Source organism: Homo sapiens, chromosome 9 (genome assembly GCF_000001405.40).
Source record: "Homo sapiens chromosome 9, GRCh38.p14 Primary Assembly".
Lineage (NCBI taxonomy): Eukaryota > Metazoa > Chordata > Mammalia > Primates > Hominidae > Homo > Homo sapiens.
This window is the reverse complement of record NC_000009.12, coordinates 77,453,821-77,470,748: the sequence shown is the minus strand read 5'-3', so window position 1 is coordinate 77,470,748 and position 16,928 is coordinate 77,453,821. Positions and strand designations below refer to the sequence as shown.

The 16,928-nt window shown below is 44.1% G+C and overlaps 1 protein-coding gene and 2 long non-coding RNA genes across 3 annotated transcripts in view, besides 1 other annotated feature; 1 reads left to right on the top strand and 2 right to left on the bottom strand.

Annotated features, from left to right (window-relative positions):
- GNA14 (G protein subunit alpha 14) overlaps nt 1-16,928 on the top strand; it is a 225,244-nt gene that overhangs the window by 177,574 nt on the left and 30,742 nt on the right. The gene's annotated exons all lie outside the window — the stretch shown is intronic.
- Nucleotides 1-16,928, bottom strand: part of GNA14-AS1 (GNA14 antisense RNA 1) — a 79,114-nt gene that overhangs the window by 56,014 nt on the left and 6,172 nt on the right. Inside the window, exon 2 of the long non-coding RNA NR_121184.1 lies at nt 14,227-14,454. This is a non-coding gene — a long non-coding RNA (GNA14 antisense RNA 1). The remainder of the gene's footprint in view (nt 1-14,226; nt 14,455-16,928) is intronic.
- LOC124902185 (uncharacterized) lies at nt 1,879-13,666 on the bottom strand. The gene is made up of 2 exons (XR_007061598.1): nt 13,584-13,666; nt 1,879-2,174 (listed from the first exon to the last, which is right to left on the bottom strand). It is a non-coding gene; the product is annotated as an uncharacterized LOC124902185 (long non-coding RNA).
- Nucleotides 15,236-15,355: an enhancer, noted in NCBI's record as "active region_28483". NCBI's record gives its function as "activates an Ori minimal core promoter by ATAC-STARR-seq in GM12878 lymphoblastoid cells {active_cell/tissue: GM12878}" and the evidence as "EXISTENCE:reporter gene assay evidence [ECO:0000049][PMID:35858748]".

The window sequence follows — 16,928 nt, the reverse complement described above, 5'->3', positions numbered from 1 at the left end:
CAGCCTGTGGAATTATGAGTCAATTCAACCTCTTTTCTTTACAAATTACCCAGTCTCATGTAGTTCTTCATAGTTATGTGAGAACAGTGACCTTCTCTTTGAAACCTTTCCTGATCTCTCCAATTATAGTATTCTAATGTACTTTCTAATCCTCTGTAGCACTTTAGCTATAGCTTTCATAGGCATTCACCACTTTCTGTGTTATAAATTAGTTGTGTTTGTGGATATGTTAATACCCCAATCTGCTATAAGCTCTTTGAAAGGAAACAGATGTTGACTGAATCCATGACAGAGTATTCTACCGTCACCATGGTTCACATTGCTACTGGATTGGATCAGAGCCTGATCATTTCTCACCTGTGCTGTTATAGTCACCTTTATTTATCTTCCAGCCTCCTATTCTTCTCTTCCTATTGTTTTCTAATTGGAGATACTCTCCAAAGCACCTGATGGGTGCTGCTTTTCCTGGTATGACCTGGTGTCAGCCCATGTCCTGAGGACTCCATCCAGATTTCTTAGCCCCACAGGCCACTGTCTCTCCACCCCAGTCCTCCCCACCCAGAGGTTCAGTGAACATCCTGAACATGCCATGACTATTCTGTACCCGTGAGCATTCTCCGCCTCCAGAGGATGGGGAGGTTACTGGATGCCCTGATAACTCCTTGCTGTCCAAAACAGAAGTATTTCATCTTTAAGCATATTCTGTACTCCTCCTTTTCCCTGATGTCACTATGAGTCCAAGCAGATCTGCTTCCTCAGCATCACTCATACGGCCTTCCAAACATACCAAGGTACAGTTTTGCTTTTTTACAAAATTATGTATGCACGTGTCCATCATTCCCAAAGGAGCAGAGGCTTTCTTTTTATCTTTACAACATCAGCATCTAGTCACCTGATAGGTATTCAATACAGGTTTGAATGAGTGAAAACAAAACCCAGGAATGCTGAAAACTGATGAGTGAACCAGAACCAACCATGCCAAGACTGTCTCTTTATAGCCTTCTGTGAAAGAAAAATTGTCCAAACCTGGTCTGCAGCAGAGCTTTCTGTATGATGTAATGCACAGTCTCTTTCTGGGAAGTAATTCACATTCCTGATTAAATGCTTGGGCGATTTTTTGATACTCCTATATGATTAAGAACTTCTGGGAAGTTAGGGTTGTCCACCCAACTGACTGATTAATCATAATCTTTAACCAGACTTTTTTTTTTTTTGGTTGTCAGTCTTTTCTTGCAGAGAGTATAAAACTTTGATATGTGCTTGTAAGCAATTTGTCTTAATTAATTTTAGGGTGACACAAACAATAACAGTAGTGTATAAAACTACAATTGATTCTTACATTAATTTGTCTGGAAAGTTCTTTTTTTTTTTTTTTTTTTTTTTAACACAGTTTATCCTAGGACTAATTCTGGGCCCTCCCTCTTGCAAAACAATTTATATATGAATGCAATACTTCATTTATTCTCTCTCTTCACCCCACCCTCCTCTCCCAGCTTTCCTTGTCCCTAAGATAGGGCACATGCTAAGTCTGGATGGATGAATGATAGGTCTCATAAGAAGGAAGAGAGGGAACTGATAGTACTTATGGGGGTGAGAGCCTCATGCAGCTCTATATTATAAAAGAGGAAATGAGGAGGTAAAGCATCCTACAGGGACCTGAGACTAACAGGTTGGCAGGGTACAAATCATGCAGCACCTTGTGGACGTGCTAAGGAATGTAGATCTTATACACACATCAAAAGATGAAACTGACTTTAGCTAAGGGCTGCTGAAATTCACAAAAATGTGCTGCATGTGTTGAGAGTTTTAAGAACAGCATTCTTAATGGTTGAGATGGGCTAGGATATGCTGGAGAAGCAAGCAATACTCAAGTCTCAGTGACCTAGAACAACTAAGATTTATTTCTTGCTCACGCAACATGTCCAGCCAGAGGGGTGAGGGCTGTGCTTCACACAGTTACCGTGCAGGACCTGGGATAACAAAGATGTTCCCATTTTATGATCGTCACAAGGCTCCAGGATTTGTTGCAACAGAGAAGAGAAGATAGAGAAGCACGCAGCAGCAATTAAATGATGCTGCTTGGAAGTGACAGACTTCTCACATTATGTCGACCAAATCAGATCACAGTCACACCAACTTCAAGAAGCACAGGGGAAGATAATAGTCCCACATTCCTGGAAAGAGAGAAAGTCTTGAAATATTAATAAATATTAGAAATGTCTACTCTATATAGCAAACACAACACAAGGGACAGGATGGCCACTTCAGATCTTGAAGGATGTTTTAGACAGTGACCAAAAAGAGAATTAAATCGACCTGTGTATGTCTGATTAAAAGGAAAGATTTCAGACCTTCAGAATGGCAGTGTGAGGGTTTTGGTAGACCCTCTCTCCAGTGAAACAGCCATTTAACTGGTAAAAATTATAAACAACTATTCGAAGCCTCTAGAAATTGTCCTAAAAGCATACAGCAAATGGAAAAACATTTATTCAAGAAAATCTACTATATGCCAGTAAGAGCATTAAGAGTTGGTAGCATTTGAGCCATGACTCATTCTCATGCCCCTGCCCCCATGTCCATGTGATAGAAGCTCTATCCAGGAAGATGTGGCCAAGAAGATGGGGGCTGCTTCTCTCCACTCCCCAGCTCCTAGTCTAGGACCCCTCTGAGAGGGGCACGCTGCCAGTGTATCTCATACCCTCTAGCCCTGAGTTGTGGAAGTGCTATTTTAGGCAAGTGTGGCTGAGAAGATCTTTTCCCCACTTAGAGCTTACTTGTGGGTCAAGGGCTTTGATTCAGACATAGATAGGTCAAGACAAATCTGGGGCCCCTGAGTGTGCTTTAATGGATGAAAATTTTATGCCAAGAGGGGGCAAGAAAAGAAAACCAAGTACTATTAACTTTTTCCCTCCCCCACCCTAACACACAGTACCCACTTGTAGAGCATAAGTTTCACTGCAGAAGTGGGCCACTGTCCCTGCTCCCAGCTCTGGTGTAGTGGCATGGGTGTTCTATCTAAAGGGAGATGCAGGTTGTCAGAAGAATGGGAATGGAGAGCTCCATTGCACTTGACTAGTCTTAAAAAAAAAAAAAAAAAAGGAGAGCTCCGCAGTTCTGCCAGAGGAGTAACTTTATTGGAAAGCAGCATGAAGCATTTCTTGCCTAAGTTCATTCACAGTAGACATGTTGGTGGTGAGCAATTAAGGGGTGGGGGCTGGTAGCTCCATGAATCTAGTAGCCACATGCAACATGGCAGATTGGAAAGAGACAGCCCAGAATACCCTTCCTGAGATGATGTTCACCCCAAGGGCTCCAGAAGCGTGGTGTACACAAGGCTGTATTCACTCAGGAACAATCAGAGAGGGTCATGGGTTAGACTGGAAAGCATTCTCCAAGCCACATAGATCTATCAGTAACATGTAGATTTATTGGAAGACTTTGGGAGAAGACTCAAAGGGCATAAGCATGACCTCAGAGCAAAACCCCAGCTCAGCAAGCTACTCTGACCCAGAGGTGACTCCTAGGAATCCGGACTTTAAAAAATTACACTCATCCTGGTGATCTGAACAGCTGGGCACCTGCCCCACTCTGCACCCCCTCAGGAGTGCCCAGAAAGAGACGCTCTTTAACTAGTAACTCTGAGCTACTAGTCCCTGGCTGAACATGGAGCAAAACTGTAAACTCCCTGAAATGTGAAAGCAGTCTCCAAGACACACACACACACACACACACACACACACACACACACCGAGTGGTAAAAGGCAAAAAAACCCTAACTGGCTGAGAGGGCTTAAGCACAACCTTTGACCAAAAAGTGGTTTATGCTGACTCAGGGGCCAGCCTCTAGGAAGTGAAGGGGAGAAACACCCAAGCAGAGACTTCAGAGGCTCCATGTGGTCGGGAAAATAGACATCACAGAGTTAGTCACACAGAGTCCCTAAACGAACAAACAAATGACCAAACAACAAACTCAGACGGGAGGGAGAAGAGGGAGGGAAGGATCAGTACACAGAGTTGCTACCATGTATTATCTAAAGTGTCCAGCTCTCAAAAGAAAGCTCTAAGTCATGCAAACAAATAACAAAGTGTGACCTATGCACAGGAAAGGGAAACAAACAAACAAACAAACAAAAAACAGGCTTGGAAGGCCCCAGAGGTTGAACTTTGCAAACAAAAACTTCAAAGCAGCTATTATGAATATATTCAAAGAACTAAAGAAAACCATGTTTAAAGAATTAAGCAACAGAATGACAACAATGACTGAATACATAGAAATAGAAATTATAAAAATGAACCAAATGGAAATTTTGAAGTTGAAGTGTACAACCCTGAACTTAAAAACTTGCTAGAAAGGCTCCGTAGTAGATTTGAGCTAACAGAGGAAAAAATCGGTGTGAACTTAAAGAGAGATAACGAGAGATTATGCATTCTAAAGAACAGAAAGAAGAAAGAAAAGGAAGCATGGTCTCAGATCAACATGGGGCACCATTTAGCACCCCAATATTTGCATATGGAATGCAGGACAAGACCAGAGAAAGGAATAGAAAAAAATATTCTGTCATAATGGCTGAAAACCTGCCAGATTTGATGAAAAACACTAATCGAAGCATCCAAGGACCTCCATGAAATCTAAGTGGGATCAATGCAAAGAAAGCCATATGCATTCACCCAGACACATTATAGTCGAACTGTTGAAAGTCAAAGTGAAAGAGAAATCTTGAAAGAGGCAAGAGATAAACTACTCATTATGCACAAGGGAACCCTGATCAAATTAATAGCAGAATTCCCACTGGAAAAATAGAAGCCAGAGGCAATGAAAAAAGTCAATCAACAATCTTATATTACCCAGCCTGGTGGCACATGCCTGTAATCTCAGCATTTTGGGAGGCCAAGGTGGGAGGACTGCTTGAGCCCAGGAGGTCAAGACCAGCCTGGGCAACACGGCAAGACCCCGTCTGTATAAAACATTTTAACAATTGGCCTGGTGTGGTGGCATGCACCCGTGTTCCCACCTACTTGGGAGGCTGAGGTGGGAGGATTGCTTGAGCTTAGAAGGCTGAGGCCTCAAAAAAAAAAATCCTATATCAAGCAAAGGTAGAAAGCTATGTTTTGAAAATGAAGGCAACTCTCATACATTGGTGATGGTGGGAATAAAAAATGGGGCAACTGCTTTAGAATAGTTTGTCAGTCCTTTCAAAAACTTCAACATAGAATTACGCAGCAATTCTACTCCTAGGCGTATACCCAAAAGAAATGAAAACACACAGCCGCACAAAAACTTGTATATGAATGCTCATAGCCAAAAAGTGTAAAAAAGTCCAAATGGCCTCAACGAAGGAGGAGATAAATAAATGTGGTATTTTCCTACAATGGAATATTATTTGGCAATAAAAAGAGATGAAGTACATGCCCTACAGCAGGGAGGAACCTGGAAAACATTAAGCTAAGGGAAAGAAGCCAATCCCAATGGATTCCATATTGTGTGGTGTCCGACATAGAAAACATCCAGAATAGGCAAATTCATAGAGACAGAGGTTGTCTTATTGGCTGCCCAGGGCTAGGAAAAGGGGGAGTAAATGGGGAGTATCTGGCTGCTATCACACAGTACCACAAATTAGGTGGCTTAAAACAACAGAAATGTATTCTTTCATAGTTCTGGAAGCTAGAAGTCCAAAATCAAGGTGTTGGCAGAGCCATCCTCCCTCCAAAGCCTATAGGAGAGGCTTCTTCCCTCCCTCTTTCAACTTCTGGCATCCCAGGAGTTTCCTGGCTTGTGGCCATGTAACCCCCAATCTCTGCCTCCATCTTCCCTCTGTGTCTGTGTCTGGCTTCACACGGCATTCTCCTCTCTGTGTGTCCATGTCCAAGTTTCCCTCTTCTTAAAAAAACACTGCTTGTATTAGAATAAGGCCTACCCAAGTGACCTCATCTTAACTTGATTACATCTGAAAAGATCCTATTTCCAAATAAGGTCACATTCACCAGTACTGGGGATTCAGATTTCAACATATCTTTTAGCAGGGATGTAATTCAACCCATAGAATCCTAATAGGTACGGCGGTTTTCTGGAGGGGTGATTAAAATGTTCTAACATTGATCATAATGATGGTGGCATGACTCGTTGGATATTCTAAAAACCATTGACTTGTGTGTTTTGAATGGATGAATTGTGTGGTATGGGAATTGTATCTCAAAAAAAATGTTTTTAAAAATGAAATAGAAATAAGAATATCCCTAGATTAAGAAAGAAAAAAATGGACTTTGTGGCTAGAAGCCCATCTTAAAAAGAAATACTTAAAGATGGTCTTCACGTTAAAAGTTAGTGACGCTAAAAGGTAATTCAAATCCACATTTAAACACACACACACACACACACACACACACACACACACACACATATACACACACACACACACATATATATACACACACTCTCACATACACACATGGCCGGGCATGGTGGCTCATGCCTGTAATCCCAGGACTTTGGGAGCCTGAGGTGGGTGGATTGCCTGAGGCCAGGAGTTCAAGACCAGCTTGGACAACATGGCAAGACCCCATCTCTACAAAACATATAAAAATTAGCCGGACTTGGTGGCAAGGACCTATAGTCCCAGCTGTTCTGGAGGCTGAGGTAGGGCAATGACTTGAGCCCAGGAGGCTGAGGTTGCAGTGACCTGAGATTACACCACTCCACTCCAACCTGGGCAACAAAGCGAGACCCTGTCTCAAAAAAACAAAAACAACAACAACAAACCAGTTCCAGCTAAGGTAATTATGTAAGTAATGATAAAAGGCAGTATAACTATATATTTCTCTTTCTTTTCTTTGCTGATATAAAAAGCAATTACATAAGAGAGAGGAATCCATACATGCACTTTTACCCACATAAAGCCAGACAGCCCCAGGATTCTTTCTAAATTTCAGCCATCAGCCTGGTTCTGTCCAACTTCCAAGCTGCTCTCCTATCCCAATATTTCCTGTCCTTGGTGGGGGTTCCTGGGGTATTGACCTATTGAACCTGGCATGATTCTGCCACCAGCCACTCCTGAAATGGAAGCCAAATAATTATTTTTGAGGCATTTCTCATTGCTGCTGATACTGGTTGAGAAACTACATGTGTTCTTTGCTGAAGAAACAAAAACACTTATCTGAAAGTTAATCACACTTTCTAAATGACAGAAATGTTTGGCTGAAGTTAAAAACTAAAGGTTAAGGATAAAGGTCCATTTTCTTAGATTTAATCCCCTTGGCCTTGGTCCTACCCCGGGCTGGGAGATTTTTAAAAGCAAAGGTTAGCATCTGTCTGAGAACTGACTGGTCCACATATAATACAACATTGGTTTTTTTCTTTTTTTAAGTGACATCCACTGATTCCAAGCTTTTTATGAGCAGCTCTGGTTCTTGGCTGTCTTGAGTAGAGAATTATTATTGGCATTGCCTGAAGTGTGTCAGCTGTTTGAGATGCACTGTTGCCGCATCTGATTGTGATGGCGACTCCTAGTATCTTTCCTCATCCAGAGAGCAAAGGAGGTCTACTTACTGGTGTGGGAGTTTTTACAGTCCCACATTCCACTGTCACTTTTGCTCTGAAATCCAATGGGGATGCAGTAGGACTCTGTATTTGGAAATGGTGCCCTTCGCATTCGCAGCAGAGGATCAAGATCAGAGCTTAGTGATCTGACACCCCCTCTCCTAATCTGTGCTGCCAACCCAAGTTGTTTATTACCCTCGAGTTGTTTATTACCCTTGGGTTGGAGACATCTTAGAAGAGAGAACTCCAGTGGGTTACTCCTCTGCTGGAGAGGCACGGAGCCCCACAGGGAAGACTAAGTGCAGCAGATCTAGTGGAGGAACTTGGTGACTGGGCATCTGGGGACCCTGGGGAGAAGTTTAAAGCTGCCAGTTCTCCCTGAACCCGAAAAGGTGAGGCAGGGATGGTGGTGAGGGAGATGACAGAGTCAGGGATCGAGGGGCAGAAAGGATAAGCTGAGTCATTCCTTTTCCCACCCCCCCACCCCCCGCCCCGAGATGGAGTCTTGCTCTGTCACCCAGGCTGGAGTGCAGTGGCTCTGTCTCAGCTCACTGCAACCTCCACCTCCCAGGTTGAAGTGATTCTCCTGCCTCAGCCTCCCGAGTAGCCGGGATTACAGGCACCCACCACCATGCCCAGCATCTAATTTTTGTATTTTTAGTAGAGATAGGGTTTCACCAGTTTGGCCAGGCTGGTCTTGAACTCCTGACCTCGTGTCCACCCGCCTCAGCCTCCCAAAGTGCTGGGATTACAGGCATGAGCCACTGCGCCCAGCCTGAGCTAAGTTATTTCTAACCAAAGTTGGGAGAATGCAGAAAGGACCAGGAAAGGGGGAGCATACCGTCAGCCTCCCAGGCAAGAGCCACTGGGCCTGTGACCACAGCAGGATTCCCCCCTCACTGGTATTCCAGCAACCTGCCCTGAGCCCCGGGGAGCTCCCAGAGGAAAAGAACTGCCTGTCTGAGAGTCACAGCTGCCCGAGTCTGGCTGAACACATGCCCAGGGACAAAGAGCTGCGGGGCAAAGACTGGTGAACATCTGATGAAAATGTCGTGTTTCCGGATAAAATTTACTTCTCGGTAGTCAAGAGAAGCCTTAATCATGCTGCTGAGCTCACGTTCGTACCTAGAAGATCTTGTCTATGCAGGCTGGACAAGTGGTCTCAGCCTAAAAGCCCTCAGTAGCAACCATGTGATTTAACACACCTACCTCTTGCCTTGACCCCTAATAGCGGTTTCTCAACAACAACAAAAAAGCGTGTAGAAAGCAATTATATAAAAGAGAGGAATCCATACATTCTTAAAGTGCACAATAAGGCATGTGCTTATTATATATTGTGTGCCAAGAATTAAAAAGCACACAATATATATGTTCTTTGGCTTTTACTCTTGCTCAGGAGAATATCAGAAAGCACTGGGCCTTTTTTAGGGAAAGACGGTTTGCTGGGATACTATTATTCAAGAAATTCTAACAGTAAACGCATGCTGATTTAAGAGAAGCATGTTTGGGGGGTATATATTGCCAATACCTTAAAATAAAAGTGAGTATAAAGCTATAAGGACTGTATCCATGATGATTTACTTCCTAATTGATCCTTATGATATAGGATCATGGTATAGGATCCCCGTGTTGTCATTTACCCCTTCTGATAAAGATGGTGAGCGAGGCTAAGAAAATGAGTTTGGAATAAAAAATGGAATCCCACCCAATTGCTTACAAGCTGTGTGACATCAGGCAAGTTGCCCAAGCTTTCTGAGCCCCGTTTTTTACTTTTTAGAATATAATAATTTTGTTCTAGAGGGATGTTTTAAGAATCACCGTTGAGGCCCAAGCCCATGTTTTATTCCAGAGCTTCTCAATGTTAATAATGCAAATGAACTACCCGGGATCTTGCTAAGGCGCAGCTTCAGAGTCATTATCTGGGGTGGGAGCCGAGATTCTGCATTGTTAGCAAACTCTCTTGCTCCCATGCTGGTGTGCTGTGGCTGGTCTGAGGAGCTCACTTTGGACAGCCAAGTTTTGCAGCACTCACAGCGCGGATGCCACCCCCTGCAGCCCTCCGCGGGGGCCTGGTGAGAGCCTGCTGGGGACCCACCTGGGACTCATGAAGGCCCATCATTCAGTGACTGATCAGCATGAGTGAAGGCTGGATATCTGCCACTTATCACAGCTAATGGAACTGTCTCCCTTAGATAAATTGAGTTAGAGAACAGCTTTAGGGTTAACAAACTAACTTTATACTTTATTTTCTGAGCCCTTGACGTCTGTGATCCCACTGGGTTGATTTGGTTTGGTTTTTCGGTGAGACCTGTAAGGGAGAGGTGCTATAAATAAATCCAATTTACAAAAAAACAAAGTCAACGACACTGGACCTGGCCCCTGCTCTTCCATCCACGCCCCACAGCCTGTGATGGTGATAATGCACTTCGTTCTTTTCATTCTTGGGCACACCCTTTCCATCCCCCATAGCCGAGGCGTAGTCAGGGGGCAGGTCTGGCTAAAGATGCTTTTTTGGCCCCTTCATTTCTTTCTCTTTGCTTCCTGCGTACTCGTCCCCACAGCCCTTTCTTTCCTAGGAGCTCCCGTGAGGACCTGCAGGGATTCTAGTCCATCACAGTTGCTTGCAGACGCCCTCCCAGCCAAGGCTCAGTCATTGGTCCCCGTCTGTCCAGAGTTTTGCCAGTTGGTTTATGAATTAATTTCCTGGGGCTGTCTTAACAAACTGAGTGGCTTAGAACAACAGAACTTTATTCTCTCAGAGGTCAGGAGGCCAGCAGTCAGAAATCAAGGTGTCGGCAGGGCTGGTTCCCCCTGGAGCCTCCAAGGGAGAATCTTTTCCATGCCTCTCTCCCAGCTGCTGCTGGTGGCCGGCAACCCTTGGTGTTCCTCGGCTTGCGGACACAACACTGCAATCTCAGCTTCCATCCTCACGTCGGCCTCTGCCCTGTGTCTCCCTCTGTCCTCTTCTGTCTCTTACAGGCACTCTCATTGGATTTGGGGTCCATCCTAATCCAACGTGACCTCATCTCAATCCGTACTTCAATGACATCAGTGAAGACCCTCTTTCCAAGTAAGGTTAAATTCCGAGGTTCCAGGAGGAGATAATTTGATGGAGACACGATTCAGCTCACTAGAGTTTGGAAGAATTTTTCTGATGGGAGGTTTGGAGGATGGGAGAAAAAGAACAGGGAGACCAAAGCAGAGAGGGAAATGAACTTGTCCGTGAGAAATGCAGGGAGCTATAGGGGATCCACGAGACCCATTGGTGCCCGCACAAGGACACAAACCAGTCTCCTCTGCCCGGCCACAGTGGGGTAGCGGGATGGGCAGGGCACAGAATGCCTGGCAGAGGGTGGGCGAGAGATGCCAGGAGGATATAAGGCACTTTCTAGGCCCCGTGGGCTGTGAGAAAGCCTTGTACCTGGAAGTCAGGGGAGTCTGGGGTCAAATAAGGACACATTATTAGGCTTGGCTGCTGAGAAGCTCATTTGACATTTGGAAAATAAAAAATGAAATTGTTGAGGGATCAGGCATTGCTAATAGCTTATAAGTAGCAGAAATTATAGGCCCAGCCTCCCCTGCAAGTGGGACTGACAGTGGAGAGCTCAGGAAAGAGCTTGCGGGTGGGACCTTGGAGATGAGGACCTGAGAGCAGTGGGGTCTCCTGAGGCAAGAGGCGGTGCCTGGGGCCGTATGTTGGGGAGGAAGTTGCAAAGAGACATCCTGGGTCTGCACACTGCCCAGGAAAGAGCACATGGAAGCAGACAGGAGGCGAGGCCAGGCGTCATTTTGCTTGGATTACCCAGGCAGGAGGGCACTGGAGAAGACTTTGAGGTGAGGGCAGGCTGGGCTTGGGCTGAGCTGCAGGCAATCTTACAGTAAGACAATCCCCCTGCTCCTTATGTTTAATTGTGGTAAAATATACCTAACATAACATTTGCTATTTTAGCCTTTTTTCTTTTTTTTCTTTTTTTTCCCTGAGACTGGGTCTCACTCTGTCGCCCAGGCTGGAGGGCAGTGATGTGATCTCAGCTCACTGCAACCTCCACCTCCCGGGTTCAAGTGACTCTTGTGCCTCAGCCTCCTGAGTAGCTGGGATTACAGGCGCGTGCCACCACACCCAGCCACTTTAGCCATTTTTAAGTGTACAATTCAGTGGCATTAAGTACATTCTCATTGTTGCGCATGTCCCTTACTTTTTTATCATGAGCAAGGGATGGAGGGCGATGACTTATTGTTGGTGACAGAGTGCCATGAGGAGGTGGGGCTAGAGTCTTGGGCAAGGGGGAGAAGAGGACAACCCCCCCCCCTCCAGCTTGTGATAAAAGGAGCTTAGGTTCTGCAGAGAGGTGGACTTTGTGGAACTCTGGAAAGCACAGTAGAGATACTGTTCAGGAATAAATGGGCCCTGATTTCTGCTGTGTCCCCTCGGGATGTAGCCCTGCTAATGCCAAATTTGCTTTGAAAGCCAGAGAAAAGCCCTCGATGTTGATAAACAATCTGTGATACAAAAGTGCACAGATTTCTTTAGTATCTTTACTCTAGGAAAACAGTACAGTAAATTGAGAAGAGACTTCAGTGCAAGTTCTCTTCAAATACGTGGGGCATCCTTATACTAAAAAAGCGTTTGTTGTTTATCCGAAATCCAAATTTAACTGATGTCCTGTATTTTTATTTGGCAACCATATTCTGATGAGACTTTGATATCTGGGCTAACTAAATCCGGAACTTTCGCTAACTGTGCCCTACTGTGATGGGGTCTTCTCACCAGTCACTAATCCATCAGAAACCCACTGCAGGTTCAGGCGCGCGTGGCCAGCGCATTCCTAGTCCGCCACACTGCTACCCAGACAGAACATCCACTGCTTCCACATTCTCCCCAGGCTGCAAAGAGTTCCCAGGAGACTTTCTTTTCCCCCCTCAAAGCTGTGCACTTGGGCCTGGTTTCACCTGCAGAGAAGTGGGTAATGGCTGATAGAGGAAGAAGCGGGTCCCTAAGACAGTCGCCTCTGCTCCACAGTGCCATCTAGAGGAAAGACAGGACATACGCTCTGAGAAGCGCAAGGCTGGGGTGTTAATAAGCAGGCCCTTGGGAAATCTGGAGTGCCCTGTTCCCCTCATTATGATCCCGATCCCAGGCAGAAATGCCTGTGGGCTATCACTACAAAAGGAAAACAACCAAAAATGCATCCAGGATTAAAACCACCGTTTCAAAAGCACATCATTAAAGCAAGCTGTGACCCAGATGTTTGTTTTGGTGTGCTTAAGAGTTTTTCAAGCAATTGAAAAGAGTGGAAAAAGTGAAACACCAAGAAAAAAGAAAAAGAAAAAAAAAAGCAGAGCAAGGAATGTTGTTGGATGATTCTCTGTGAGCCAAGGAGGACCTTTTTATTTAAAAATCTGTAAGCTTTGGTGTTGAGGGAGAACTACTACAAAACTAGACTTGAATTATCATTGGAGCAGGATTTTGAAAATTTATTAAGAGTAGCAGGCTGGGCGGCGTGAGGGTGTCTATAGCCCGGATGAAGGTGCTTATGAAGTAAAAGGCATGTCAATGGGAAATGTGGTCGCTGGAAACATGTAGTTAAATTCAGTGCAAAGAGTAGGACAACCTCACATGTGTCCTTGTGTGCAAGGGAAATCAGCTGCCCTCTTGGCTGCTTTCTCACACTCCGGTAGGGCATTGCCGGTCCATCACACAGAGCTGTCTATAAGACACTGATGGAGTACTATGGAAAGCTTACGGGCATACACAATTGGGCTTAGTCCCTTTACCACTCATTCACTTTATAATTGCAGGAAGCAACTTAAGTTCTCTTGTCAATTTTTATGTACTTCAAAGAACTACTAATAAAATTCGAATTTATAGAACATAGACCCCCAAGGGGCATTTTGTGTTGGTGATAATATTCTACTAACTTGAAAAGTTGCAGCAAAGATGCGCCTTCCACTAAACTCTAACTCAGTCTCTTTCTTTTTCTCTCTCCTTGTCTCTCTCTTTCTCTCTCGCTCCCACTTTCTCAAAGGGTCAGAATGCCTGGGTTCTTACCTTCATATTAGCTCTGAAACAGACTTCAAGATAAAACCTAGCTACGTCGTTCTGGCTGAAACTTTGTAAGTGTTAGGTATAAAGTAAGCACCCTGGGTCTTGCTTCTGTTAATGGGCTTGCAATTGTGGAAGCTGCCACTACGTGGCGTCGTGAGTCACAGTGAATCCTAGTGAGTCACAGGCATGAAACCTAAGTCCTGGCTGTCCCTAGTCAAGGCTATTTATGGTCCTAGGTAAGTACGTAAACTCGTCAGCTGTGTTTATTTTTTTTCATAAACATCACATTGATATTGATATGGATGTAAACCTCTGACAATAATTATTAGCTGATTTATTTTTTAAATATTGTATTTATTTTTACTATAATATTTTCCAATAACTATATTATATTTATTGTATAAATAATATCCTTTGGAGTAGGGTTAAAGAATGTGGGCTGGCATCAGCGATGTACCTTCAGAATGTGTCTTATCAACTCTAGTTTTTCATACTCTGTTTTAGAAAGAACATACGTTACTCCTCAGTTCCACGGTGAATATTAGCAAGTCTTCCATATGGAAACAGTCACATCGTGCTTTTGGGTCTTGGTGTCAGATATTCTCTTACACCTGTTTATAACTTACCAAGGAAAATGCTTACTTACTTGTTTCCAAGCCCTTCTTCTATTTCTGGAACTTCGTTTTCTACTTTCAAGCGGGGTTTAGCTATTACCAAGTTCTGTACTTCAGAGAAGTTTGTTTTACATTGTAGAAGAGCACTTGCCAGGCAAGATGTGCAGAAAACTATTCCTCTGGGCTTTACAACATGTGTAATGGTCTCTTTCTAGTCTGGAGAGTTGCACAGGCAGCCAACTGTCCCCACTCTTTCCTTCCTTTAAAATGTAAATGTATTTAAATCAATAGGGTGTGATGGTTAACAGCCTAGGCTCTGTTGGTCAGGCACGCTTGGAATTGAATGGTTGTTCTGGTACTACTTCTTATCTTCTCTAGGCCTCATCTGTTTCCTTATCTATTAAATAAGGGTATTAAAGTATCTTATTTCCTGGAGTGGTTGTAAAGATCATATATGATCATGCTTATACTAGGTGGTCACAATAATGGCTCAGTTTAGATTAGCTATTATTATTATTTTATTTCATTTTTATGTATACCCTATTTCCTTATACAACACATTAGAGGCTACTTATAAGACTGTCTACCTTAAAATAGTAATCAGTGCCAGAAAAGTTTTTGAATTAAAATGAAAGAGTGAGGCTGGGCAGGGGCCTGTGGGGGAATGAAACACAGGTATTGTAAGATACAAGTACTCATAAACTTCTACTCAGTTACTTAGACTTAGCCACATATTTGTTTCTGAGCTTCCCACTAGCTAAAGTGAAAAGAGAATCAGGTTCACTCATGCGATTCCTATGGACCACAAGGCAAAACCTACCAGTCTCTCAGCGAAGCATAAGGGGTCTTGGTTCTTAACTCCAAGAATATATATTCCTTATGTGGGGCATCATGTGAACAGAGACAGTAACCCTAACAATAACCCTATATGAGGTATCGTAGACACTTTAAAAATATAAGCCGAGGGAAAAGTAAGAGGTAGTTTTGCTCCCCAGAGAACTGGGAACAAGACCATGTGCTGGGCAGAATTCTGAGATTCACGCCCCCTGGTGTACACGTCCTGCATAATCTCTTCCCCTTTGGGTGTGGGCAGGACAGTGTTGGCTGTCACTCCCACGATTAGATTATGGGATATACAAAGTGAAGTCCCGATGTAATGAAGTCCCTAATCAGTGGCTTTAAGTAATCAAAAGGAGATAATCCTGGGTGTTCTGACCTAATCAGCCCATTAAAGAAGATCTAGAGTTCAAGGAGAGTCTCTGCTAGCCTTGAAGAAGGATACTGCCATGCTGTGAGAGAGCCACATGGCCAGGAACTGAGGGCAGCCTCTAGGAGCTGAGAGAGACCTTCAGGTGACAGCTGATGAGACAACAGGGACCTCAGTCCTACAGTCCTGAGGACCTGGATCCTGCCATCAGCCTGAATGAGCTTGGATGAGAGCACAGCCAGCAAACATCTTGATTTCAGCCTTGTGAGACCTTGCACAGAGAACCCAGTTATACCATTGCCTGGACTTCCGACCTACAGAAACTTTGAGATCATCAAAAGGTATTGTTTCAAGCTGCTGAGTTTGTGGCAATTTGTTACACAGCAATAGAAAACTAATGCAAACCATATGGCTGGAATCCACAGCCTTTGAATAGATTCAGAAATAAAATCCAGAACATCTAGGGCATTTCCCAAACTAAACATTCATGGGAGATGCTAATATATGTGTCACATTAAAAGCAAAACAACTTTTTTCGTTGACCCTGACTGTTCGCATTAGAAAGGCCTTTGCTCTACTGGTGGGGCAGAGAGTCAGGTTTCTGGGTTGTAAGCAACAGAAATAAACTGACTCACATTTGCAGAAGAGAGTTTATGGAAAGGCTATAGTGAGGTCATGGAATCAAGGAGCAGGCTAAAGAAACAGTCTCAGAATGGACAGGAACCTGAAAACTCCAGGGGTCTCACTTCCAAAAAAAAAAAAAAAAAAAATCCTGATGGCCAGTTGCCACCAAAATAAAAGAATTTCATCTGTTCCTTTTCCCCGTCCCCACTATTATCAGATAACTCCCCTCAAGGTTCAACAGCTCAGCAAAGTCTGAGTGGCCTGGCACTTAGCCACAGGAGAGCAGGAGACCTGAATTAACAGGTGTGCCAAGATGCACACAGCGAGCGAAAGGTTATCCTCCCAAGCTCAGTTGTAACCCGAAGGAGAGAGAATGGATAATGGGCCACCCAAAAACAAAGGGGGTTCACAGAAGTAGATCAGACTGACAAGTTTAGGGGTAGAATCTGAGACTTCCTCCTTTATGTCTTAGTGTTAGAGGAAAGGGGAAGTCACTTTTGTAAGAAACGGTGAAGACTTTGGAACCACCAAATCCAAAGCTTCAGGAGAAGTAGAAAGAGGGGAGCCGGGGGTGTGGGGTGGAACTACGCAGGTAGTGGAAGGCTGGGCAATGCGGTTCTTCCTTGTGAAATCCAAGATTTTGAAGAGATCGGATGCTGCACGGAGCGGGCGAGGAGCCTGAGCTTTGTGCCTGTGCAAATGAGAAGAGATACTGAATCATGAAGCTTTCACTTCTGAGCATTAGCAGAAACTGCAGCAAGACTTCTGACTTTTACAAGCTATGGAATCGGCTGGAGTCTGAGCAGTTTTATCCTGTGAGAAAATGGATCCCCAGTTGCCATTGAACTATATGTATTTGGCAAGTAGTGTATCGTAAAGCTGCTCTTTGGAAACTCATAATAA